A 25,456-nucleotide genomic window follows, 5' to 3' on the forward strand; every position below is an offset into this window, starting at 1 on the left:
TGAACATGACAACTGATTCAAATAGTTGTTTTAAGGATTAAAGTGTAATGGAAAAAAGTATCTGGCAGATCACCTGGCCAAGTGTGAGTATTAGTAAGTGGTGATTATTATACCTGTAACTGTAAATGCAACTTAAAACCACAGATCAATGGGAGAAACTATGACCTCAAAGATGTTATTTAACAGACGAGCTAATAACAATAAAATAACCTAGTGCTTTTTATGCTACAAGAATACATGTTTGTACATTCAGAAATTCATATTAGTATCAACAGTATCTAAATGATGTATTTTTAATTTTTGTGAGTTTTCCCATTTTATTATGAGTATTTTTAAACCACAGAAAAGTTGAAAGAACTGAACACTGAGAACCCATATACCCATCACCTAGACCTATAGTCAACATTTTACAATACTTGCTTGATCACATATCTATCAATCCATTTTTTAAAATGTATTTCAAATCAAGGAGGAGACATTACTACATTCACTCTGAACTACTTCAGCATACATAGCATTAACTGAAGCTCAATATTTGTTTAAGATTTTCTTTTTACTTTTAGGTAAAATTTACATGCAATATACACACAAATTGTACAAATACAATTTGACAGTCTGACAAATGTACACACTTGGCAATTGCAGCTCCCGTCAATATATAGATTCCCAATCAATATACAGATGATTAGCTTTACTCCAGAAAGTTCCCTCATCCACATTACATTTTAAGTGAGGAAGCTGTGGTGTACGGAAAAAAAAACATTGGGCTCAAGAATCAAAGGGTCTGGGTTCAAATCTCACCTGTATTACTCATTAGAAATACATACAAGTGTGCACACACACACTCCATGTGCTCTCTTTCTCTATATATTTATATATCTCCTTGGTTTTCTACCACAAAAAAGAGATAATGCCCATCTCACAAGGTCTTTTGTAAAGGTTAAATACAAAAATACCTGGAATACAATAAGTATTCAGTAGATGTAATCAAAATGGAATCATTACCTTGGTACTTTCTACCTCTCTCCCACCTCTCTCCAATCTGAGGATATTGTCTTCAAAAAGAAAAGTAAGGACACACACACAAAAAGCAGTTGCAAAAGAGATGAGGGGGAAAAAGGCATCTCTCTGCATAGGCAGTAATCTCCCAATTTATCCACTCTGACTTCAGCTAATTAAACATCTGTCTCAACGGCCTCCTCAGCAAATTAGTCATCCCCACTTTGTGACATTGATTGTTGGTTGCAGCCTTTTCCCCACTTGCTACCATTCCCAGAAACTTCTAGGAGTTTACTCACCAGGCACATGGCAAGGAATGATGCAGGGTCCACATTAACCCCCTACAGTTGCCCTTGGTGCCACTGCTGTTCATAATGCTGCCAGGCGTGTCCTTAGATCTGCTGCCCCAAAATAAACCGGTTAAGGGGTAACAATGTTTTTGTCTATATTTGTGACTTCCAGATTATGATGCATTTTCTAAGTGCTATGTACATGTACCAGACTAAAGTATTTAATAAACATTTAACTAAAAATCTGTTTTTTAAACTAGTGTTGATGACAAAGCAATCAGGTAACAGAAGTTCTCAAATAGGAGGTGGATTAAAGTCTGGTAAATTATTAGACAGCTTTTTCTGAACATATAAACAAAAGCTTTGCCGGTGCTCAAAGGGCCAGCAGGCAAACAAGTGAAGCTGTGTGGCTTGGATGCGTGATCCATTTCTCTACATGATGGGGTGTGTGTGTATGTGTACGCATACACGCCTGCTTTGGCAGGAAGTGAGGTGGGGACGAGCTGTATTCTAAACTATAGAGCACATCTTAAAAATGGTATTCTGAAATTAGGCTTTTTCTCAATTCTTTTTCCCATTAAAATAGTCGTGACTGACCAAAGAACTATCTTTTAGAAAGATAAAATGGCTAATAAATACATTTAAAAATACTAAACGACACTAAAGACCCAGAAATGCAAATTAAAATGAGATACTGGCTGCTAACCATCAGTTTGGCAAAAATTAAAGGCTGATAACATTCAGTGCTGGTAAGGAGCTGGGGAAAAGGGCATTCTCACATACTCTTGGAATGTCAAAGAATGGGCATAAACTTTTTCTTTTTTTTTTTGAGACAGAGTCTTACTCTGTCACCCACGCTAGAGTACAGTGGCACGATCTTGGCTTACTGCAATCTCTGCTTCCCAGGTTCAAGCGATTCTCCCTGCCTCAGCCTCCTGAGTACCTGGGATTACAGGCACCTGTCACCTAATTTGGCTAATTTTTGTATTTTTAGTAGAGACGAGGTTTTGCCACGTTGGCCAGGCTGGTCTCAAACTCGACCTCAGGTGATCCGTCTGCCTTAGCCTCTCAAAGTGCTGGGATTACAGGTGTGAGCCACTACGCTCGGCCAGGCATAAACTTTTTGAAAGGCAATTTGTTTTCCTCAACATTTTAAATAAATATTTGACAAGCAATCCATATTTAAAATCTAGCACAAATATGCAATCTAGCACAAATATTCAAACAAGATTGTTCACTGCATGTTTTTGTAATACTGAAAATTTGGAAATAATCTAAACATCCTTCAATAGAGAGCTAAGTTGAACAAATTATTAGGAAGATAAAATGTGTGGTCACTCTAATATAGAATAATGCTTATGACACATTGAGTTAAAAAAGTAAATGCAATATCATATATGCTGTGTGACATAATTACCCTAAAAACCTTAACACATATGTATTTTTCATGAGTTCACTTAACAAGCATTTACTGAGTATACTATTTGACAGGTACCTTGACAGATGTTGAATATGTAAGTGATTTTAAAAATAACAAAAACAAAAAACAGGAATCCTGTCCACATGAAATGTATAACCTATATGTATATCTGTATGTGAACTGAAGAAAAAAAACCCAAAGGATTTACACCAAAGGAAGTTATAGGAAACCTTCATTTTTTACTTCACACATCTCTAAAATGTTTGCTTCTTCCCCAACAAGTATTTAATTTTATTTAAAAAATATCTTTAAATGCCACTACCTTCTTTTGATATTAACTCCAGGAGATCTGGCCACAGATCAAAGCTATTTCAATTCTCCCAAACTGTGCATTTAGCTCTAATGAAAGAAATCAGATGTTACCATAGTGTCCATCCCTCCATTTCCCGATGAGTAGCTTCTACTCTTCTGCACACCTTAATTCAGGGCTCCACTATCTGTTGGACAGATTTCTTGAGAGCCTCTGCATTGGTGTCTCTGCTTCATGTTCTTTGGCCTCTAATTCATTTGTACAATGCAGATGAGTGTTTTCTAAGAGAAATTCTGATTATATATTGCCCTTCTTTCAATAGATCCCCTCTGCCATCAGAATAAAGTTCATATTCAACACAGCTTACATACGGACATGACCTAGCCCCTGACGACCACAGCAGCCTGAACACTCTTTCCCATCCCTCTTTACCTGCCTAGTTTCTATTCATCTTCAGATTTCAGCTTGGGATGGTCTTCCCTGACTCCCCAGGATGGAACTAGGGCTCCCTGCTTCCCATGTGCACCCAGGCCCTATACTTACTTCCATGTATCCCTTGTATGGTATTATAATTGCCTGCTTATCCCAACTAAATAGAAAGCTGCTTGAGAGTAGGAACGATTTCTTGGTCTTTACAAAATTCTTAGTGCCTACACAGTGCCTGTTACAAAACAAGCTCCCAGAACATAAATGCACTTCTATTTTTAAGCTCACTTATCAGGCCTGGCCTGGTCGGATCTGGCCCTGCCTAGTTTCTGTAGCTTACCCTCTGCCCTCTTCCTGCTCCAATGATTTGGAACTTCTATGTTTTGTGACTACATCTCAAAACATGTTGTCTCTTCTACTTAGAATGTTCTTCTCATTTACCCATCTGACAAAGTTCTAATTAATCTTCAAGGAGCCATCAAATAAATCACCCCAGAGCATCTTTTCTCAGTCCCCTACCCAACCCAGTAGTTTCAAGTAGGACTCCCTTACCTGTGCTGCTTTAGTAGCTTATATACATCTGCTTGACAATTTACCACATTTTAATCCCTCTTTTTACGTGTACTCATTGGGTTTTCCACCTGATTTCCAGTGCAGCATGGCACAGAGCAGACAGCATGGCACAGAGCAGGCAGCATTTGATGACAGATGAACTAAACAGGGCATCTCAGAGCCACACAGAGCTTAAGAGCACAGATAGCCCTTTCCTCCAGTGCCTTGATTAATCCTCACTCAGCCTCTCCCATGTTAGAGTTGAGGAAAGCGAGGCTTAGAGAGGTTAAGTACATCATTACACTCATATACACTTTCCAGAATTTCTTAATTCTGAGATAGATTTTCATTTTTTAAAACATTTATAAAATCAGGATGCAGTTTACAATCAATATGTACACGTAATGTAGAATTATTTCCTGAGAAGCTATTATTAAATTGGCGGTGCTCTAGAATCAGACCCTAGTGAACCCAGGAGAAGGCTGTCTGACTTCTAAGTGTGTGTGTGTGTCTCCCATACCACCACACAGCCTCTTGGGGCATATGTCTTTTTTCTTCCTTTCAGTCTGCTTTTTCATTAATCGAATCCACACTTATGACTGCCCAGATGATATGAATGAATAGATTTTATAATGGAAAAGGAACTTCTGAAAGATTAGCGACTAGCAGGAAGAGTAAATGCTGGTCAAACATAGTTTTGGCAAATGATATATTTCAAGTTTTTCTGAGGTGGCAGTTGCGAGAGCTCATAACACCCTTCTAAAATAATTGGGTCTCTAAAGTGGTTCCAAAAGATTTTTGCTTGACATAAATTCTCTAAATTTCCAGGCTTTCTAGATAAAATAGTTGACTGCAATGCCACTATCTTCAACGTGCTGTACTCTATATTTGGGAAGATCCATCAGGAGCCTCAGAGCACTCCAGACAGGGAGAGGCTCAGGTGAGATGGAACAGTAAGATAAAGAGGCAGAGAAAGGAGGCAGGCAGGAATATTGAAGTCGGAGCTCCTTGCCCGGGGCACTTCTGAGTCACACATTTAAACACTTTAGCAGCCCTAATTTACTGTAGCATTTTCCCAATAGGTCACTGGATATAGAGTGTCAGGTCTCTGTTTCCTATTCATCCCCTATGCATGAGTGGCATCAGCATGATTACTTATTCTTCCATAAGGAGGAATAATTTTCTGCAGAATTTACTGCTTTTTGACAAAGATCACTTAAACAGTTCTATTTTCCATTTATTCATTCATTCATTCATTCAGTGTTTATTCTTTTAAGGATTATCTGCTACAGCATAAGGAAATCACAAATTTGTGTCCCTGGCTTACAAACTCTACTTTGATAGAAGAAAGAATACTGGATTTTCTGTACCAATTGCATGTGAAGTAGGACTCTCTGTTCAACCCTATAGCCAGAAGATTCTTTAGCTTACATTAGCCTTCAGAGGGCATTTCAGGCTAGAAGGGTGTTAAAAACCCTACTCCATCTAAAATATATATGGGTTTCCCTTTTCCACAGGGCAGCTTAGGACAGGTGTATGTTGCTTTAAGAAAGCTAGACATAAAACATTAAAACTGACACCAATACAGACAAATTGTGCAATTACAAAAAGAATTCCTGGCTTTATATCCAGAGTCACCACAGGGTTCCTTTAAATGCTGCACTTCCCTCGTGCATTTAGATCTCAGAATCAATGAACATTTCTGTTTACAGAATTTTAAATTTGTTCTCCCATTAGGGTTCTAATAAGCAACATGGTACAAATAAAAAGAGTATGGGCTTTGAGGTCAAAAAAGCCTGGGCTCCAATTTAGATTCACCATTTACTTACTAAGGAAACTTGGGTACATTTAACCTCTTAGAGCTGAGGAAAGTGAGGCTCAGAGAAGTACATCATTACATATACAGTTACCATAGGTCCTTAATTCTAAGATGCACCTCTTTTTTCCTTTAACATTTCTAAAGCCTCATCTTCAAACCAGGCATAATAAAATCTACTTTCCAGGGATGTTGTACAGATTAAATGAGGTAATATTTCTAGGTACACCAAGGCACTCCATTCATTAGCTCCCATGTCGTTGGAAGGGGTCCTCCTTTTGGAAAGACCAACTCCTCCCATGGCACACAAATCCCCTTTAAAATAACTCCCCCTCCCAATACAGAGTCTTGCTCTGTCACCCAGGCTGAAGTGCAGTAGTGTGATCATGCCTCACTGTAGCCTTGACCTCCTGGGTTTAACCAATCCTCCCACATCAGCCTCCCCAGTCACTGGGACTACACGCATGTGCCACCATGCCTGGCTAATTTTTTAAATTTTTTGTGGAGACAGGGTTTCACTATGTTGTCCAGTGTGGTCTCAAACTGCTGGGTTCAAGCAATCCTCCTGCCTTGGCCTCCCAAGTGTTGGAATTACAGGTGTGAGCTACTGTGCCTGACTAAAATACACTTAATAAATAATAAATTCATCTGTATACAACTTTCTCAGTCTATCTGGCATGAAAGTAAGGCCTACTGTGTGTGGTATTATGGAGACTGACCCTGCTGCAGCCAGTCTAGTACAGCAGGTCCACAGTGGGTCACAGGCTCTAAATTCCGCACCTCCCCATGGCCTTGAGTGCCCAGGGTCTCTTCCTGATCTGTATCCCTCTGTCATAAGGCAATCATCAACTCTGTATTTTTTTCTCCATTTCTTTCAAGTTCTTTTATTTCTTTGTGTTCATACTCTCTGTATGTCTCTTATCCTCTTTGGGCCTCAGTGTATTTCACAGTGGTTAAAAATTTGGATTTAATTCTATACAGAACTGAAAGTCATTGAAGAGTTCGGAGCAGATATGCTCTGACTCATATTTTAAAATCTCTCTTTGGTTGCTGTGTAAACAACAGACTGGAGAGAGGCCAAGAGCACAAGCAGAAAAACCAGCCAGGGTGCTATTTCAGCAGTCTAGGTGGAGAGTCATGGTGACTTGGACCCATCCAACAGAGACGAAGACAACTAAATGGATTCAGGATATATTCTAGAGGTAAAACTGATAAGACTTGCTAATGGATAAGATGTGGGGAGGCAGTGCAGGAAAAATTCAAGACTGACAGCTGGATATGTGGCTCAGGTGAATGGGTAGATGATGGTGCCACTTACTGTGCAGGGAACCTGCTTTATCTCCCTTAAAGGGTCAATTTTACTACAATTTTTTTTTTTGGTGGGGTGGGGGGTTAAGTAAATTAAACTGCAAAGTAATCTGAAATGTTCTTTTTACATTAAAATATGGTAAGCCACTGCTTTGACTGGCATTGTCCCTGCCCTACTCCTAAACTGTTCATAGCTTAAATGTGAAGGTCATTGTTTAAATGTCAATTTCTCCGAGAGGGGCTCCCCAAACACCCTATAGGATGCAGAGAGCTCCCCTGCATCCTATTATTCTCCCTCTCAGCCTCTTATGTATACTCTTGCTCTAGAAAAAGGTCATCCTTAGGTCTGACACAGGGGAGCACATAAGTGAATGTACGACATAGCTACAGATACGTTATGGATCGATATTTACATTTTACATGAAATTTTTAAGATACAACTTAAGAGTCCAACGATGCCATCATTGTCCCTCAGACCAGAACCCCCAAACCCTGTTGTACATGTTTACTCCCCCTCTGCTCCTAGTAGTACTTGGCGGAATAATGTTTGAGAAGCCCCGTACACTATCTCACTGGTGACATTCTAGGGGTCTTGTGAAAACAAAGTAAATTAGCAAGCAATAAGGTGCTCTGTAATTCTAAACAGATATAGAGTTAGGAGGGAGTCCACTTGACAAAGCTAACATTTTTCTTTCAAGTTCTACGTGAAATTTTATAAAAGTAGGAATGAATGTCACTAGGCTTATTAACAATATTTTAAGAACTTTTTAAAAGAATCTTCAGACTAATAAAAATTTGTCTTTCATATCAAAAGAATGGACAGGAATAAGAAAAAGTTAAGATGCTCCTGTTCAATCTTTCCACAGATAATACAGAAAATCACCTCTATTTCATAATGAGACTACTGAGACAAGTTATGTGGAAAACTATTCTGCTTAGCAAACCCCACTTTGATGCTCTCTCTTCTGTAGATCTAGAGGTATCTATATTTCTGTGTCAATGTTAAACATTGAAATTGATCTATTTCTCAGCAATGTGTCTGTCATGCCCAACATAATGCTTCAGAAGGCTAGGAAGGGCTGATGGTTAACCGCATTTTTAAATAACAACAAAGGTCACTGATTGTGAGGGTAAGCTTGACAGAGGGAGAACTTGAATTAAGGCCTTTATTCACTAAATAACAGCTTAGTATATTTTGCTGCCTAAATCAAGGGACCTGACAAGCCACTCTTTACTATGTCAAAAACACACCCACCTAACTGTTAACATGAGTAAAGAGGCTTCATCTAATTCTTCTAAAACTGGATTCTCCAATTACAATTTTCTTAAATAGTAGGGACTTCCTGCCAATGCAGGTACATTCCAAATGTCAAGTAGGTCAGTAAAAAAAAATGAAAGGCTGAAGAGAAACTTTAAAAGAGACATTTAAAAATAGGCATAAAAAATAGACCTTAGCAGAGAATTGACTGAAACATACTGTGAAAAGACTACTATAGTATATTCTTTTCATATGAATATTAATAGAAAAAAAACCCATGCAGTGTTCATAGTTTTGAGTTGATGAAATAATTACAAATAATGCAAATCAAAATTTTAGGTCAGTTACAAGTGTCTGTAAATGACAGTCTATCCTAAAAAGCAAAATGATTTTGAAACCCTAAGGGCTTCAATTGGCAAAGCTATTTACCTAAACAAAGAAGAGTTCCTTTGCTCAAGCAAATACCTACCACCTTCTGATTTTTCACAAATGAAAACTGGGGAAGGAGTGCCAGACTGAAGGACAAGAGAGCAAACATTAGGACTGCCATTAGGCCTACATTTTGATTTAATAATGAAATGTTTAAGTTCTAAATTTATTATTATTATCAGACAAACAGTTGTGTAGTCAGTCTGGAAAAAAGGTAAGAGAAGAGAAATGTCTGTGGGCAAGGAACAAGTTCACTGTCAGCCTATCAAAGGATTTCTGAAATCTTGTTGTAGCACAACTAACCTCTGTGATAACTACTGACTCTACATGGCATGTGTATTTTGATTTGAACTGGTATTTCCCCCCTTCTTCACTGACGTTCAGTAAGGGTAGCAAAGAGACAAGTGCTGTTCTGTACTCAATCAGGTAAAAGGGGTTTGACGACAGGGATGATCACTCTAATTCTGTTCCCAGACATGGGGCATGGTAGGCACATTTTTGCAAACACTAAGCTGGTCATTGTGACAGAGGCTCAGGAAGTGCAGGATGACTGCCTCTAACCTGGCATCTCTTTCCACCAAGTTCATGACTAAGTTCATGCGTCATAATGGGTAACTAACAGGTATTTCATAGCCAACTGTGAACACCAACAATTTTTTAAGTACTTTCTATGTGTTACTTTCTATGACAAGAGGATTTTCCTCTTTTCATTAATCACTCTCCAAAAAAAAGTCTAAAAAGTTCAAAAACACAAGATGTACCCTGCCTTTACCAACCTAACCTTAAACAAATATCTTTACCAAACTGGAGATCCTTCTGTTTTATGAGACCAGACTTATTAAAGCTACAGAAAGAGCTTCTTTTGTTAAAAAGCTTTTTGGATTAAGAAAACGGACAGTAATTTATGTAAATGTATCAATCTCAATTGGCTTCTCTTGTATGAAAAGGAATAAATAACGCAGATCACTGTTTTTCAGATAACGAGTCCTAACTCTTTGCCAAGGATATGGCAAAGACTCTGATGGAAAAGGCAGTAATGTGTACACAAAGGTGAACATAAATAAATGTGTGTATGATAAACGCTGGGAATGGACATAGAAAAACGGGTATGCAATTGGACAGAGACGACGGGAGACAGAAGGAAAGATACTTGCTCAGCTGTATCTAAGTAAGTTCATAGGAGTTTCATGGTCTGAAAAATCTGTGACAGTGGAATTTCTACTAAGAAGCTTAAAAAAGTTTCACCTTCTCCTTGGACACTTCAGAATAAGGCCTTCTTAGAATATAATGCATTATATCACAAATATACTTTTATATAAAATATTTGGGACCAAAACAAGAGTAAAGAACCAGGATCCGAAAGGGTGAATGCCTACTAAATATCTTTGATTATCTAAAGCTGTTTAAAAGCTATTAGATTGGCACCTGGAACCCCAAAATATCCACTTTTCACTGGGAAGGAGTGGCTGTGCCTCTTCAATCATCCCCTAAATGCAAAGAAGTTTGACCCCCACGCAATGGATAAAAGTCACCCAAAAAATGAACAAAAGAGGTGTTTGGAAAAACCAGAACACCATTCATCCCAGCTAACGACTTGTTCATTATGAGTGATGATGGATAAAGACTTCTCATGCTGAGATGAAATCAAGATTTATATGCATTGTTTCCTCTCCCAACTTGTGGGAAGATCATCATCATTTAATTCTATCTCTGCGGCCAGTGATGGGCATCCAGAGAGCTGGTTATCAAACGGCGCAGTCAGCTGGCAAAAGCCGAAACGTGCAGTTGGCACATCTGGACGGAGCCGCCACAGCCGAGGGTGAACAATGACTCCTGGCAAGCATCCAAATTGCTTGCAGACGCTAGCAGGTCTCATCTACAACCGCCCCTACCAGCATCTCTCTCTCTCTCTCTTTTTTATGAGAATCAGATTTTCATTGCTCCATTCAATTGCTCTCCTCTGCCATTTTTTACAGCTCTTATCGTTCCCCTGGAATATGGCCTTGAGACAGCTCATCCGTGTCCTTCACTGTGTTATCTCTTCTAACTTTTATTAAAACTTCAGCTTTCATCTGAAGATAGCTAATTAAATCTGGAACAGATTATATGCCTCCCCTTAAAAAGAGCACAAAACTATTTTCTTCAACCCCAGCAATGCTTTTTTTCCTTTCCAAAAGGTAAAATCAAAGGTGTTTAAGAAGTCTCTTTATTTACAGAGCTAAGATATTCAACACGTCATATATGAGTTGATTTATATTAAAGTTGTCTGTGATATGACAAATCTTTGAGCTATTTCTCAAGATGATTATTTCTCAATCCTGGTATATATCCTTTAAATATCACAGCTAATACTATAAGCATATTTTCTATATAAAGTTGGGTAATGAGGAGTTAAGTTATTAGTGCACATCAAGTGATTTGTCTTTTTATTCGTCTTTTTTTTTTAAAGGTTGCCCTCATTTGATAAGGATGAAGAGAAATTTTTCTTTTCTTCCCCATACCACAAATATTAGTAACTAAAAGTTCTCCCATGGGAAATTATGTGAAAACATGAAATTAATAGCAGTGATTCAAGTTTAGGACTGATTCGGTTTTCAAGACAGCTTTATATCAACTGATCATCAGCACAAGTAGCTCTGTCTGAGTCTACCACAAATTATTAATGAAGGAACTTCCACAATTGATATGAATACATTCTTCTCACATATGCCGCTGACCCAGTCCCTTTCTGAGGCCGAGGGGCAGTGTACAATCACCTTTTCTTGCATAGATCAGCTAACCAAACCTTCTAGCAATGACATCTGAAAGAATCTAGCCAGCCATCACACACACACACCCCCTATGCCCTTTTAATAAGGGTTAAGCTTCTACTACTGTGAGAATATGATTTAACTATCCCACCTGAAACTTTCTGGGATCCTTTTCTTCGCTTCACTGCCTTCAGTAAGATTTCCTTCATGGTAACCTTTGTGTTGTCCACCTGAATAAGGGAGAATCCATGAGCAGCATTTCTGTAGGAAAAGACAAATATTAAATCATCACCAACATTCATCCAGAGAGATGTTACTGCAATCTTCACTGTGTTTAAGCAAGTTTTTTTTGTTGTTGTTTGTTTTGTTTTGTTTTTGAAATGGAGTCTCGCTCTGTCACCCAGGCTGGAGTGCAGTGGTGCAATCTCGGCTCACTGCAAGATCCGCCTCCTGGGTTCACACCATTCTCCTGCCTCAGCCTCCCAAGTAGCTGGGACTACAGGCGCCCGCCACTACATCCGGCTAATTTTTTGTATTTTTTTTTTTTTTTAGTAGAGACAGGGTTTCACCATGTTAGCCAGGATGGTCTCGATCTATTGACCTCGTGATCTGCCCGCCTCGGCCTCCCAAAGTGCTGGGATTACAGGCATGAGCCACCGCGCCCGGCCGTGTTTAAGCAAGTTTTAAAGTAAGTGCATACTGAGGTGCCAATTATTTAAAAATAGGTTGAATAAATATACTTCAAATGGTGGGTGGCGGGGGGGCAGTGATAAACGATTCTAGCGTGAGCAGTTCCATGTGAGAGAGGTCACGCTTAGGGAAGGTTCTTCTAATTTGTCCAAGTTGAACCTAAGTGGTCTGTGTGGGTCAGCAGCACCATGGGTTCCTAGTGTTGGCTTCCAAACCAAATCTTGCAACAAGGATTGACAACTGATAAACTTGGCTTGTGTCAGTAGATGTCACTACAGGCAGATACTGCCATCATACTAAGCTCATGGAGCCCCAGACAAAAAAACGTCATGTGGGGCCGCAGGGCAGTAATACCCCAAAGTAATTGAGAAGGAGGAAAAGAAAATGCTCTAACTAGCTAGTAAATATATTTCTTTATTCATACACACACTTTTTTTTTTGAGATGTCTGTCACCCAGGCTAGAGTGCAGTGGCGCAATCTCGGCTCACTGCAACCTCTGCTGCCCAGGTTCAGGCGATTCTCCTGCCTCAGCCTCTCCAGGAGCTGAGATTACAGGCGCCTGCCACCGTGCCTGGCTAATTTTTGTAGTTTTAGTAGAGATGGGTTTCACCATCTTGGCCAGGCTGGTCTTGAACTCCTGACCTTGTGATCTGCCTGCCTCAGCTGCCCAAAGTGCTGGGATTACAGGCATAAGCCACCGCACCTGGCTGTATTTTTTTTTTTAAATACAGTCTATACACTTCAGTATGAATGATTTAATCTTAGTCCTAGAAAGTCAAAATATTAGCTGAAGCACAAGTAATTATAAGACAAAACACTTACACTCCTTGTAAGCTTCCAATTAATCAAACTGGGTGGGGGAAAGGCTTCATCTAGATTGGAAAAAAACCGCTAAGGAACAAGTACTCTAAAAACAGAAGCCCATCTCCTGTGTGAGGTATAACTTCACCAAGACTGTTAATTGCAATAGCAAGTATCACAAATACTACTCACTACACTTGGGCACTGGAACAAAACAGACCAATTCCAAGTAGCTCATGTAACAAACGGGACCCAAGTTTCCAACTATGGAACATGGGAATTGCCACAAGGAGTTTGGTCGCATTCCCATTTCTCCATAAGAATCTCTAAAGGGAATGTGGCCAAAAAACATGGCAGAACTTCATATTGACGAGAAATCTGAAAGAAAAGCCAAGCCCCAAGCTAAGTTCTGGAAAAGCTTCCCAATGGTAGGACAGGCTGGGAAGGGCCTTAAGCCTAGGTTGGACCCAACTAGGTGGCTGACTCTCCACAGGGGCTGGGGGCCGATCTCAAAACCAAGGACCTAATTTGCTTCCCTAATACAGAGACATCTCCACAACCCTCCTCTCCATACGGCTTGCTGTTTAATCCTTGACATTCCATTTGTTAAAAAGCAAAAGCCGATGCTGGTCTGGCCAGCACCATCATCCATTTTAACTTGGTCAAGTTCTTGCTATTGAACAGCAGGCCTGAGAACTGTCAAGCTAATTTTACTGAACACTCTGTTACTGAATCATGCCTGAGTCCCGGCCATTCTTTACCTCAGAAGCTGGACCGCATCCCAGAACAATCTTTAAAAGTTTATTTTACTGATCAAAGCAAAATAAGAAAAAGCTCTTTTTAAAAAACTATATTTAGGGAGCGATGCAGTAAGTGATACTTTGGCAAGAGTACTGAAACGTAAAGTGCCTTGTGCATTTATAAACTTGGGGGTATTTGCTCTGGCGCTAGGCCAGTGTGTGTTTGGAACAAATGCCAGTCAACCACGTTCAGATTTGCCTTCCCTTGCTTTCTCCTCAGAAGTCAGTATGCGCTCCATCTGTGACAATATGTTGGGCGATGGATGAGTAGGGCCTAAAAGAGAACACAAGTTCTCGGGTACTCACAAACTAGTACTGGCCTGGACCTCATGAACTGCCATCCACCTGGTTCTACAGGAACTACTGTAGATTTCAGTCTGCTTAGAAACTGCTTACGTTCCCTCCTAATCTGCTGCCGGCTGACAGCATTATTTCCAGCCAATACGTTTATCTTTTTCAGCAAAGGCAGACTAAAAGCTCAAAAGGAAGCCTTGTGTTTGGACTAATTTCCATAAATTAAAAGTGTCCTTTTAAAAGATTTTTGAGCAGAGGAAAATCCCCAGTCTGTATTTTTCTGTCATTTTACCAAAACGTACCTGGGTGACAAGGTTAAAGCAAGCAGAGGAAATCCCTGGCACTTATCATCCACAGGCATTACTGATAAATTGTGTGGTGGAGGAATAAAGGATTACCTTCTGTATTTTTTCATTACACTTTTCTTTTGTTACAGAATACATAAATCCATTGTGGCACAATGTAATATGTATCACCATGCTACACCTGCGGACGCTTCCGAGCGGCTGCCATGTCTGTGCAGTCAGGAATGATAAGTGAACCACCCGTGAATGTTAACGATAGTGATCATTCTGAGGTAACTTGGCTCTCCATCTTCCTTTACAGCCTCCGTGCTGAAGCCAGGGTAGCAAGGTTCATGAGAGGAAAATGAAAACAACAGCGAAGGGAAGGGGCACACACGGCCCTCGGAATGGACCTTCGTGAGTGTGCAGTATCTTACTCTGGGGCTCCATTTCCGTAAAAACGTGCACGTTAAAAGGAGAAAGAGGTTCTGCCCTGAGTGCTGCACATTCAGGCAGACCTAATAAGAGTTTCCTCAGGTCAGTCCCACGCTCCGCTCCTTTCCCTCCAGACGAATGCCAACTTTGGATCTTGTTCCACGTCTACAGCGCTTTGGGGGGAGATGGGCAGGGTTTTGTTTTTTGAGTAATACCCTCATATGTTTCCAAAACGTAAGAGCATAGAATGCAAGTGGTTCTCAGCCTCCGTCTAGGTGCAAGTGTTAAGTTATGCTCCCATTTAACAAGTGGAGATGGAGACTTGCCACCACAATTTTCAGCTTGACTTCCAAACATTCTGGGTTTTATGCCTCATTTCTTTATATCCAGGATTTTTTATGGGCTTTCTAAAAAGTCTACTGAAATACATCTTTTAAAGCCTTTACTTAATGTGGGATGCTGGGTTTGAAGCTGAGAAGACAATGGTCCTGGGGGGAGTGCTGGTAGTGGGCAGGAAAGGAAGGGTGCTCCTGGTCCTGGCCTGCCTTCCCTGTGGCACACGCTCCAGTCTCTGGGTTAGGAGCTGTGGCGGGGTGATCAGCCCTCGGATGAACAGGCAGGCTACACACAGACTCAAAGTCTCGGCTCAGAAACCGCTCCTCCTCCTGCTCGCCTCAGGGACAGACAACCTGTTTTCCCCCAGAGCAGGGCATTCTAGGGACACTGAGAAGCAGCAGCTGCCCTTCCCACGGCTCCTTGGGCTGTCCATGCTGGGTCTAGGGTGAAACTCCATGTCAGGGAGCGTAAGAAACACTGCCAGGAGTGCTTCAGTCAATTCAAAGTTAGGTCCTGTCAAGTCTCGTAACCACTGAACGATGTATGGGCATTTTAAAAAGAGACTCCTTGCTTGAGGAGTTCAGCTCCGTCCCAGCGCACAGCCACTCAGTTACCCCAAAAAAGTTTGTATGCCAGCACGAACCCAACGCAAGCAGGCTTTCTGTACTAAGCAGTAAGCGAGAGGCAATGGGAGCCACGGAGCCCACAGGGACACAGGTCTTCATCTGAAAAGCTTAGATTCTATCTTTAGGAACAGAGCTGGAACCAGAACTCAAGTTGGAAGGCAGCATACTGGAGAGGAAAGGGCATAGGCTGGGGGTTAAATACCCTTTGACCGAAATCTTGGTTCCGTGGCTAACGGAGATGTTGCTGTAACATGTGGGAACCTCAGCCGCATCCATGAAATGAGTAGGCTACTTCCCTATAGAATTGTCACAAGCATGAAACAGACAATGAATGCCAAGCACCTCACACTATGGCTGGCAAACAGTAAAGGGAGTCGACGTTAGTTCTCTTTTGTTCCCCTTGCCCTAAGTCATCATTCCAAGAGAAAAGGCCCCACTTCAGCCCCTCCTTCCCCTGCCTCCTAAGCAGAGACTGCTTATCGGGGGGTGGGAGTCTCAAAACTCACTGCCTGTCATTGGTAACACAGGGGCATTAAAATGTGTGATTTGTTGAGCTTGGTGGCCATATTCAGGGGCATTATCAGTGAGTAGCCTGTGGCCCAAGCACCAAAATTTCCCAAGAGCTCCAAGGGGAGCACTCTGGGTTGTTTTCAAAACTTTCCTTTTTGAAAGTGTTAACTATGAAGCAGGTATGTTCTGCCTCAACTTAATTCACTGGCTTTGCATGATGATAATGGAAATTAAAAAATCATGGTGGTGTAGAGAATTTCAACAACATTTATTAAGAACTTTTTGATTTGCACAATACAAGTTGTCCACTGTTTAACAATTATAACAGCAACTACTATTTATTGAACACTTTCTATGGGCTAGGTGCTGTTTTAAGCTTTTTAAAAAATATCTGTATTGACTCATTCAATCCTAAAATAGGTACAATTATTACACCCATTTTATAGAAACTGAGGCTGAAGGCATTAGGGAATTTACCTGAGATCACTCATCTATTAAAAATCCTGTTTTGGATTCAGAAATCAACAATGTGGTCCCTAACCCAAGCTGCACAGTCCAGTGGGAGAGAAAGATAAGAAGTCAACAAACAATTATAGTTCTGTGTGACAGTCACAAAGGTGGAGGCAAGTTCAGAGTGCTGCCAAAACAAACATAGGGCACGTAACCCAGCCACACAGAGGTGAGAGGGTCCGGGAAGCTTCCTAGTGGGGATGATGTCTCAAAACGCAAACATCATTTAGCTCTAAACCATGCTAGGAGAGACGGTGGCAGCACCAGAAGGCAGCAGAGCACAGTAAGCTCTAGAATAAAGTGACCTGGTTTGGAACCCCACCTCTGCTTTCACGGATAACAACATAATCACTTTAACTTCATTTCCTCATCTACAAAATGAGGATGATAATTATTCTTGGATTTTAAGATTGTTGTAAAGGCAAAATACTTCTAAAGTACTTACCATAATATCTGTCATATAATAAATGCTTATAGATGAGCCATTAGTTAAAAAAAGATAAATGCTTAATAAACAGTTAATATATAATAAGCATAAGCATTTTCTTCATATGTACAATGAAGTAATATATAATGATGAGACAATAATATTCAATATTTATTGAGCACTTACTTTGTTTAATCCTCCTAGAAAAGATAGGTGTTATTATGAGTTCCATTTTATAAAAGAGAAAATTGAGGTTTGGCAAGGTTGAGACATTTGTCTGGAGTTATATAATAAGTTAATACATCATATAACTAATAAGTCCTGAAGGAGCCAGGACTTGAACCCAGATCAGCTAGACTCCCAAGTCTGTGTTTGTTAATCCCTCCACAGCCGCAAAGGGAGTCTTAGGGACTCGGGGAAAGAAGAGACTTCCAGGGAGCACATCTTCCATACCGGAACCACTGACCCAATCTGTGGAAAAGGTTCAACTTCCACTGTAACAAATTCAGCTTGACTATGAATGTCCAGACTCTTAGACTAACCATATGACCTACAGGATTTTTAAGGAGACATTGGAGAATGTCATGGTTTCAAAAGCCACAGTCTCAGTTTGCAGAAGTGGGAAAAGGTTGCTACGAGCAGTTCTCGAGTCTCTGGTCCTGACCAGTTCCCAATAGTGATGAAGACACACTCTAGTTCCCAACCTGCTCTGGTCCAATTCCATGCATGTTCATTCTCCAGCATTTCAAGGTAGAAAATGAAAATATATGAGCAAGAGAAGGCCTTGTAATAACTGCAGCATGCCTGCTTTAAAATAAGTCCTCTGAGTATGACTTTATCCATAAAGAGTTTACACTAGTGTGAATGCCACATTTTGTTTCCCCTTAGACTGACCAAAAATTTTTTTTAAAGATCAAAGCGTACTGTGGGAGCATGCGATGTTTGACATTGGACAAAGTACTCTTTTTCAAAACAGACATTTTCCAAAAACATAACTCGCTAGACTAATGGGCAGTGAGAAGCCAAAATGACTGCCCTCCGCCTTCTCCTTGTGTATCTTTGCCAGAGTCCTTGGGACTTGCCAAATCCGGTCATGCCTGCTTAGCTTGCTCGACTGATTGTGCCAGAAAAGAAAATAAGACACAGATGTATTTGAGCTCTTTGAGATGCCAGTAAGAGAGACAGCTAATGGCTTCATTTCGACCCTCCCCTTCCAGCTGGGCACAGGTGGGGGATAATGAGGTCCCTCTCCCTAATCAAACTCAATTATTTACTACTCTATATAACTGCAAAGACATTCACATTCCGTTCAGAATATAAAACACACCGTGGGCTACTTCCAACCACTGCCACTGGGTATTTATAACAAACTCAAGTGGCTAACAGTTTGCCTTGGCAGGAGTTTAAGTGTGTAAAGTTTTGCAAACTGTTTCTGTTCAAATATGTCCTGCTGAAATGGGGTCCCAGGCGGGGTTCCATAACTGTCAGGTCAGTGAACTGCATAACATCTGAGAATGTATTCACCATGCAGTGCAGACAGGATCTGGAAATCAAACGCTTCGTTCTATCACAACCTTCTGAGAAGCATCACAGTTTTTTTCAACAGCAAGACTGACATTGTATTAATAAACATTCCAAGTCACTAGCCTGACATGTACATAGCAGCAGCTGACAGACTCCGACATAAGCTGAGGGGAGAACAGAGGAAATCAAAATGAGACATAGTAACTAAACATGGCCAAAGGGGGAAGCATCACCAAACCAATCACATGGGCTCAGAAATGGGAGCTCCCCGACTTTGAAGACACATATTAACTAAAGCAACAATCTGGCATAATTTTTAGATACAAAGTAAGTTGATGGTTATCTAAAATGTGTGCTTTTATGGTAGGAACAAAGCGAATCCTGGCACAATTTCAAGACATTCCAGTGAGCAAAACATACATATTTAGCTTGTCTGACCTTTAAATTCTTAGAAGTGTGTAATTAATGCTTTCCATCTTTATCACTTGCTCCAATATTTCTGTCACTTTAAACAGACACAAAGAAAAATCCTTTCTTTTCTCTAGACAGTAGCTGTTGCCAAAAAGGAAATCAAGTCAGATTTACAAATACAAAATTAAACAGGCTGCATATGTTACATTTCCATACACGAGGACAATCTGGACAATGAAAATGTTTGCTAATACAACAGAATGAAAAGAAACAACACACAGTTGGTCCTCTATGAATCAAGCAAACAATAAATAACCAGGATAATTTATACTCATTTTGTCAGGCCTGGTTACAAAGAACACAAGCATCTTCTTTTATTCCTTATTCTATTTTAGCTCTGCCTCTTACCAAACAGCATGGCCTTGAATTAGTAACTAACTACCTGTCTCTGAGCCTCAGCTTACATATTATAAAAGTGAATTGCGTATAAGAAACTTTACTGATGGGGTGTGGCCAATTTTAAAATATCATAAAAAAGAAATAAATGATAAAAAAAGAAATAAATGAGATAGCATCTATTGGAGGTATGAAACTGAATGAGTGTGTGAAAATATTCTCCCTGCCCTCCTCTTTTTTTCATTCTCTAGACCACAAGGCAATAGCATATAACAGAAGGAAAGGCTTCAAGCTAATGACACCCTTTAATAAAGGTCTGGTCACTTGGGGTATACTGTGGATTTATCATCAAGAAGGTAAACTAAAACTCCCCACTCTTCTGAAAAGCCCAGTAAAGAGCATGAATGAACCTAGGGCACGCCTCTTTAAAAAAGCAGCTCATCGTTCCCTTTCTGCAGAGCCAAGAGAAGCCAAGGTAGTCTCTGGGAGCCTGCCCAAGGCAGCCCAGCTTCTGGGCTAAGACCTTCCACTGTTACCTGACAGCTGTTACCCAAAGAGCTCTTGGTTAGAACTGTTCCTTCCTCATGTTCCTCTAATATATCAAATATTTAAAGGAAAATACATATATATATAGGAGACAGTTTAACTGCTCTGACTTCTAACCTAAGGAGATTCTGACCATTTTATTGGCCTTGACTTTTTTTTTTTTCCTTTAATGCCCTTCTTCCCCCACTCCAGAGTAGAATCCTGGCATGAAACTTTAATGTCAACACATATAAGGTAATAATACTACCACAGTTGTTTTTGTCATTGCCACTTTTGAACTCAATTCAGTCTCACAAATTCTGACTAAATTAGGTCTGTGTTGGGAATGGGAGAAGGAGACGAACAAGGCAGGTCCCTATCCTTGAGAGGCACTTAGCCCACTCAAGATCTCATTCTCCCTTGTCCTACTTTGTCTAAAGGAACAGTAGGCTTTGGCTTGGTCACTGCTGGCAAGAAACACTTCTTGAGATGCTGGGCACTATCTGAGCTCCAGCTCTTTATCTGGTTTTGGGGGTCAGCCAAAAACCTTCCCATTCCTCCCACTCCCTACTTCTCCTCTCTGACACTACTGATATCCAAACATCTTTACTGCTTAAGCTCAAAGTAGTCAGCAAGTTAGGGATTCCCATTTATAGATATATTTGCTCTGTCCAAAATCAATCAGGAACAATGGATAGCTTAGGAATCCACTTGAAGATTTGTTAAAAGAGGCAGTTTCCATTACCAGGCTCCTAATTTGCAAGTTGTTAGAATAATCCATTCTCCTTCCCTGAACAACAACTCTATCCAGGGGATTCCTGGGGCCCAGGGGTTCTAGAGGGAAAGCTAGATAGATCTAGTCCTGATTTAGTAAGAACATCAGAAGACATCCAATTTCACGTTCCCTCCACAGAATAATTTTCCAATGAGAAATTCATTAATTAGTTCCCCTTTAAAAAATGTAAATAATTATAAAATATAATTCACAACCTTTGCATGATGGAATGAAGACAAATTTAAAAATTTCTTTTATATGCAGAAACAGATCTATTTCCCAATTTTGCTATAATGGACACATATTAATTATATAATAAAAAATAACTCAAAGGAAGGTTAAACCCCATTCTCACCTTAGTGTAAATTATTCCCACTGAGAATCCCTGACAGAAATAACAATAGCAACTATGTAACACTTCCTACATGCCAGAGTCTCAGCTAATATTAATAATCACAGCAGCATTTCCTGAGGTTCAAGAGCCCCCAGGAATCAACAGATGAATTTACAGACTAAGTTTCAGAATTTAAAAACCTGTTTTCTAACGGTGATGTGAGCCTCTAGTTCCAGCTACTCAGGAGGACTGTCTGAACCCAAGAGTTCCAGTCCAGCCTGGGCAGCATAGTGAGACACTGTCTCTAAAAATTTTTTTAAATTAAAAACAATTTTGATTTTAGTCAATGAAAAGCATATAGAGATGTATTATCTATACATATCAATATATGTATGATATGGATGTGTAGCTATATATATCTATATGTGCTTTTCATTGAACTAAAAGCAAAATTATATGTGTCACCACATATTTTATATATGTCACTGTGTGTGTGTGGGGGGGTGTATGAGATAAAGATACAGATATAGGCCCCTCCTCACTCCTCATCTTCCATGTTCCCCATTTTCCACCCACCTGGGGAGCCCTGAGCCACTGCCTAGAGGAGAAATACCCAAGAGAGTCACCTGGCCTACATCAGACAAATGTGAACAAGAAATAAAATTATTAGGCTGGGCGCGGTGGCTCATGCCTGTAATCCCAGGGGAGGATTTGGGAGGTAGAGGCAGGCAGATCCCCTGAGGTCAGGACTTCGAGACCAGCCTGGCCAACATGGCGAAAACCCATCTCTACTAAAAACACAAAAATTGGCAGGGCATGGTGGCAGGTGCCTGTAATCACAGCTACTCGGGAGGCTGAGGCAGGAGCATCGCTTGAGTCTGGGAGGCGGAGGTTGCAGTGAGCCAAGATCACGCCATTACACTCCAGCCTGGGTGACAAGAGTGAAACTCTACCCAAAAAAATGGGAGGGGAGGGGAGGGCAAGACGGAAAGAAAGAAAGAAACTTATTGGGAAAATCCAGAAGTTGACCAACAAACCTACCCCATGCCCATTTGTCTATGTAGTCTACGGCTACTCACACACTACAATGGCAGTGCTGAGTTACAGAAACTCTATGGCCAATAGCCTAAATATTTACCATCTGGCCCTTTGCAGAAAAAGTTTGCTGAGCTAGAAGCGGTGGCTGAAGCCTATAATCCCAGCACTTTGGGAAGCTGAGGTCAGCAGATCACTTGAGTCCAGGAGTTTGAGACCAGCCTGGGCAACACAGCAACACTCTATCTCTACAAAAAATACAAAAAGTATTTGGGCATGGTGGTGCATGCCTGTAGTCCCAGCTACTTGGGAGGCTGAGGTGGGACGATTGCTCGAGCCTGGGAGGCAGAGGTTGCAGTGAGCCAAGATGATGTCACTGCACTCCAGCCTGGGTGACAGAGCAATACCCTATCTCAAAAAAAAAGTTTGCCAACCCTAGGATAACGTGGCGAGATTTGGGGGGTTATGTGTTCCAGCAGCTAGAGTTATTTAACATAACTAACAAACTTAGTAAAAGTCAAATGGCATTACTGCAAGCTGCATACAGAACTTGTTTGCTGAACAGAGAAAAATGGTGACAGAATTCAGTGGGCACAAAGATCTCTATGAACAGTCTTGCTGGTCTCTGAAAAATCTGTGCTGTTTGGTGCCAAGTCACACTATACACAAGTATCAGTCAGGCAGAGCCCACTTATGTATAGACCAAGCAACAGATAAAGTAGAGTGACCAATCTGGTTTACCTAGGATGGAGGAAGGGGTTGGAGGTGAGCATCAGGGAGTGCTCATAGATTCAGGACTTTCAGTTTTGAAACAGGGAGAGTCCTGGACAAACCATCACAAACTGATCATACTAACAGAAAGCGTGGTGGGCCAAACGTAAAGTAGAGTTTTCTAGGTTAGGAGCGGTGGCTCATGCCTGTAATCCTAACACTTTGGGAGGCCGAGGCAGGAGGACTGCTTGAGCTCAGGAGTTCAGGACCAGCCTGGGCAACACAGTGAGACCTTGTCTCTACTAAAAATAGAGTTAGTTGGGCATGGTGACACATGCCTGTAGTTCCAGCTACTTGGGAGGCTGAGGCAGGAGGGTCCTTTGAGCCCAGGAGTTTGGGGCTGCAGTGAGCCATGATCACATCACTGCACTCCAGACTAGGCCACACAGCAAGACACTTATCAAAAAAAAAAAAAAAAAAAAAAAGCATTTTCTAGTAAAGAACATTTAAAATTTATGTGTTTGTGTGGGGGGACACATTATAAATCAATTGGCCCACTAAAATAATGGACGAGTAGTTAAAAATACACTGTTTAAAAGGATGTTAATCGTGATGTCTCATATGAAAATCAAAAGACTCAAGTTGACAAGTAAAACATTTAACACCCAATTAAACCCAACATCAGCAATGTTTAATTTCAGCAAAACATCATCTGTTACATTAAAGTTGTTAATTTGTATTTTATTAACGTTATAATTTTATCTGTATTTAGTTTGTAATTTTGTTTAGGTTGTGTAAAAACACTGAATTTATAGCTAAACATTACAGAACTTTGTATTTGCATGTATCTAAGTAGCATTATTAAAAAACTCATTTGGATAAACATTGAGACTTTAGGAGAATTTATTTCCCTTTAAAAGAGTTCTGTACATAACTTACATTTAAGAAACTCCCTCATGACAATTCCATGAGATAGTTACTGTTACCCAAATTTTAAAGATGAAGAAACTGAGACTTAACAAAGGTAAGTAAAATTGTCTAAGGTCATGCATGTAGCAAGATACTATTGAAGCTGAAACATGAACCCAGGTTTGCCTAAATTCAAAGTCTGTGCTGCCGCACTTAGAGGGAAAGATGGTACTGGAGCCCCGGGAATAGCCGGTGTGAGGGCCTCTAAAGGTCAGAAGGCGACATGGGCTTCCTGGTATTTGAAAGGCAGGAACGGGTGTAAAAAAGGGGAAGAGGTCTTAGAAAGCAAGGTGGGACACACTGCTGGGTCAGGTGTCCTCCTGGCAGCCCACAGACACCTGAAGTTTCAGTCATTCCTTCTCCATGAAGCCCTGTGCTGGGTGCTCAGGATACAGAGAGACAATAAGACTGTGCCTTCCTAGTCTTCAAGAAGTTAATGGTCTTGCTACTAACTCAGAGGATGTGTGCTCATAAGAGGACTCATTTGAAAGTATGTAGATCCTCGATGTTTACCCACTGCCCATGTTCACTGAAAGTTATTCCAATTCAGCTTTTTCAGTCCAGCTGAGCAATGTCCACCTAAACACTACCCCTCCTCTGCTATAAAACAAAGTCGGAGAAGAAAAATGTAGAAGTGGCAGAGATCTACTCAGTAACCCATTCAAGAAATACGTGTGACAGATCTATCACAGTAATGGAGTGATGGTGAGTATTGTGGGCACAGATAATTCAGTTCTTGCTCTCCAAGGGTTGTTTATTAATAGTAACAATAACAGCAGCTAACACTAAGATGATGCGTACATATGCTAAACACTGTTCTAAGTGCTTCAGATCTATTAACTCATTTAATCCTCATAACTGATCTGTGAGGTAGGTATTATTATCTCCATTTCACTGAGCCACAGAAAAGTTAAATATTCATCCAGGACCACACACACTAGTAAGGGCAAGGCTAGGATCGGCATCCAAGCGATCTGGCTCACAGCCCACCATGCTGTCACCTACTGCACTATAGCAGTGGCTGAATGTCAGCCTTAAGACAGTGAGATTCACAGGTTAAACCAACACCAGATTCCCCAGCCTCAATCTTTCAGCAGAGGGTTGGAAAGGGCATGGACTTTAAAGTCAGGGATGGCGTCAAATCCAGGCCTAAGAACAATATTGCTCACCCTCAGGTTCCACGCCTCTAAATTGTTCATAAAAACTGGGCTATTTTGGGATTAAGTGAGATAGCATATGCATAGTTGGCCCTTAGTAAGTATTAGTTCACTCCCTATGTCAAACCTACTTGCCTCTTTCTGTTTCAGCTTAGTGTCTTCCCAGCCACTTCTTGTCCCTCCTCTACTGGGAGACAAATGGAAGGAGGAAAGGGGGGAAATGACGAGGAGGAGTAGTTACGGCTTTATTTATTTTGCTGGGATTTCCTTCTCTGAAACTTTAGACACATCCCTACAGACTCCTGAAGGTCTGCTCTGTTCTGCATCTGTAGGAGAAGCTTTACTAA

At 40.7% G+C, this 25,456-nt stretch overlaps 1 protein-coding gene and 1 long non-coding RNA gene across 7 annotated transcripts in view; one reads left to right on the forward strand and one right to left on the reverse strand.

Annotated features, from left to right (window-relative positions):
• MAPKAP1 (MAPK associated protein 1) overlaps positions 1 to 25,456 on the reverse strand; it is a 269,815-nt gene that overhangs the window by 93,956 nt on the left and 150,403 nt on the right. For all 6 annotated transcript variants that reach the window (NM_001006621.2, NM_001006620.2, NM_024117.4 and 3 more), the window contains one exon: positions 11,710 to 11,819. In NM_001006621.2, the coding sequence (NP_001006622.1) occupies positions 11,710 to 11,819 (110 nt within the window). The remainder of the gene's footprint in view (positions 1 to 11,709; positions 11,820 to 25,456) is intronic.
• On the forward strand, positions 6,934 to 11,089 carry LOC124902270 (uncharacterized). Its single transcript, XR_007061774.1, has 2 exons — positions 6,934 to 7,015; positions 9,786 to 11,089. It is a non-coding gene; the product is annotated as an uncharacterized LOC124902270 (long non-coding RNA).

This window comes from Homo sapiens, chromosome 9, assembly GCF_000001405.40.
Source record: "Homo sapiens chromosome 9, GRCh38.p14 Primary Assembly".
Classification (NCBI taxonomy): Eukaryota; Metazoa; Chordata; class Mammalia; order Primates; family Hominidae; genus Homo; species Homo sapiens.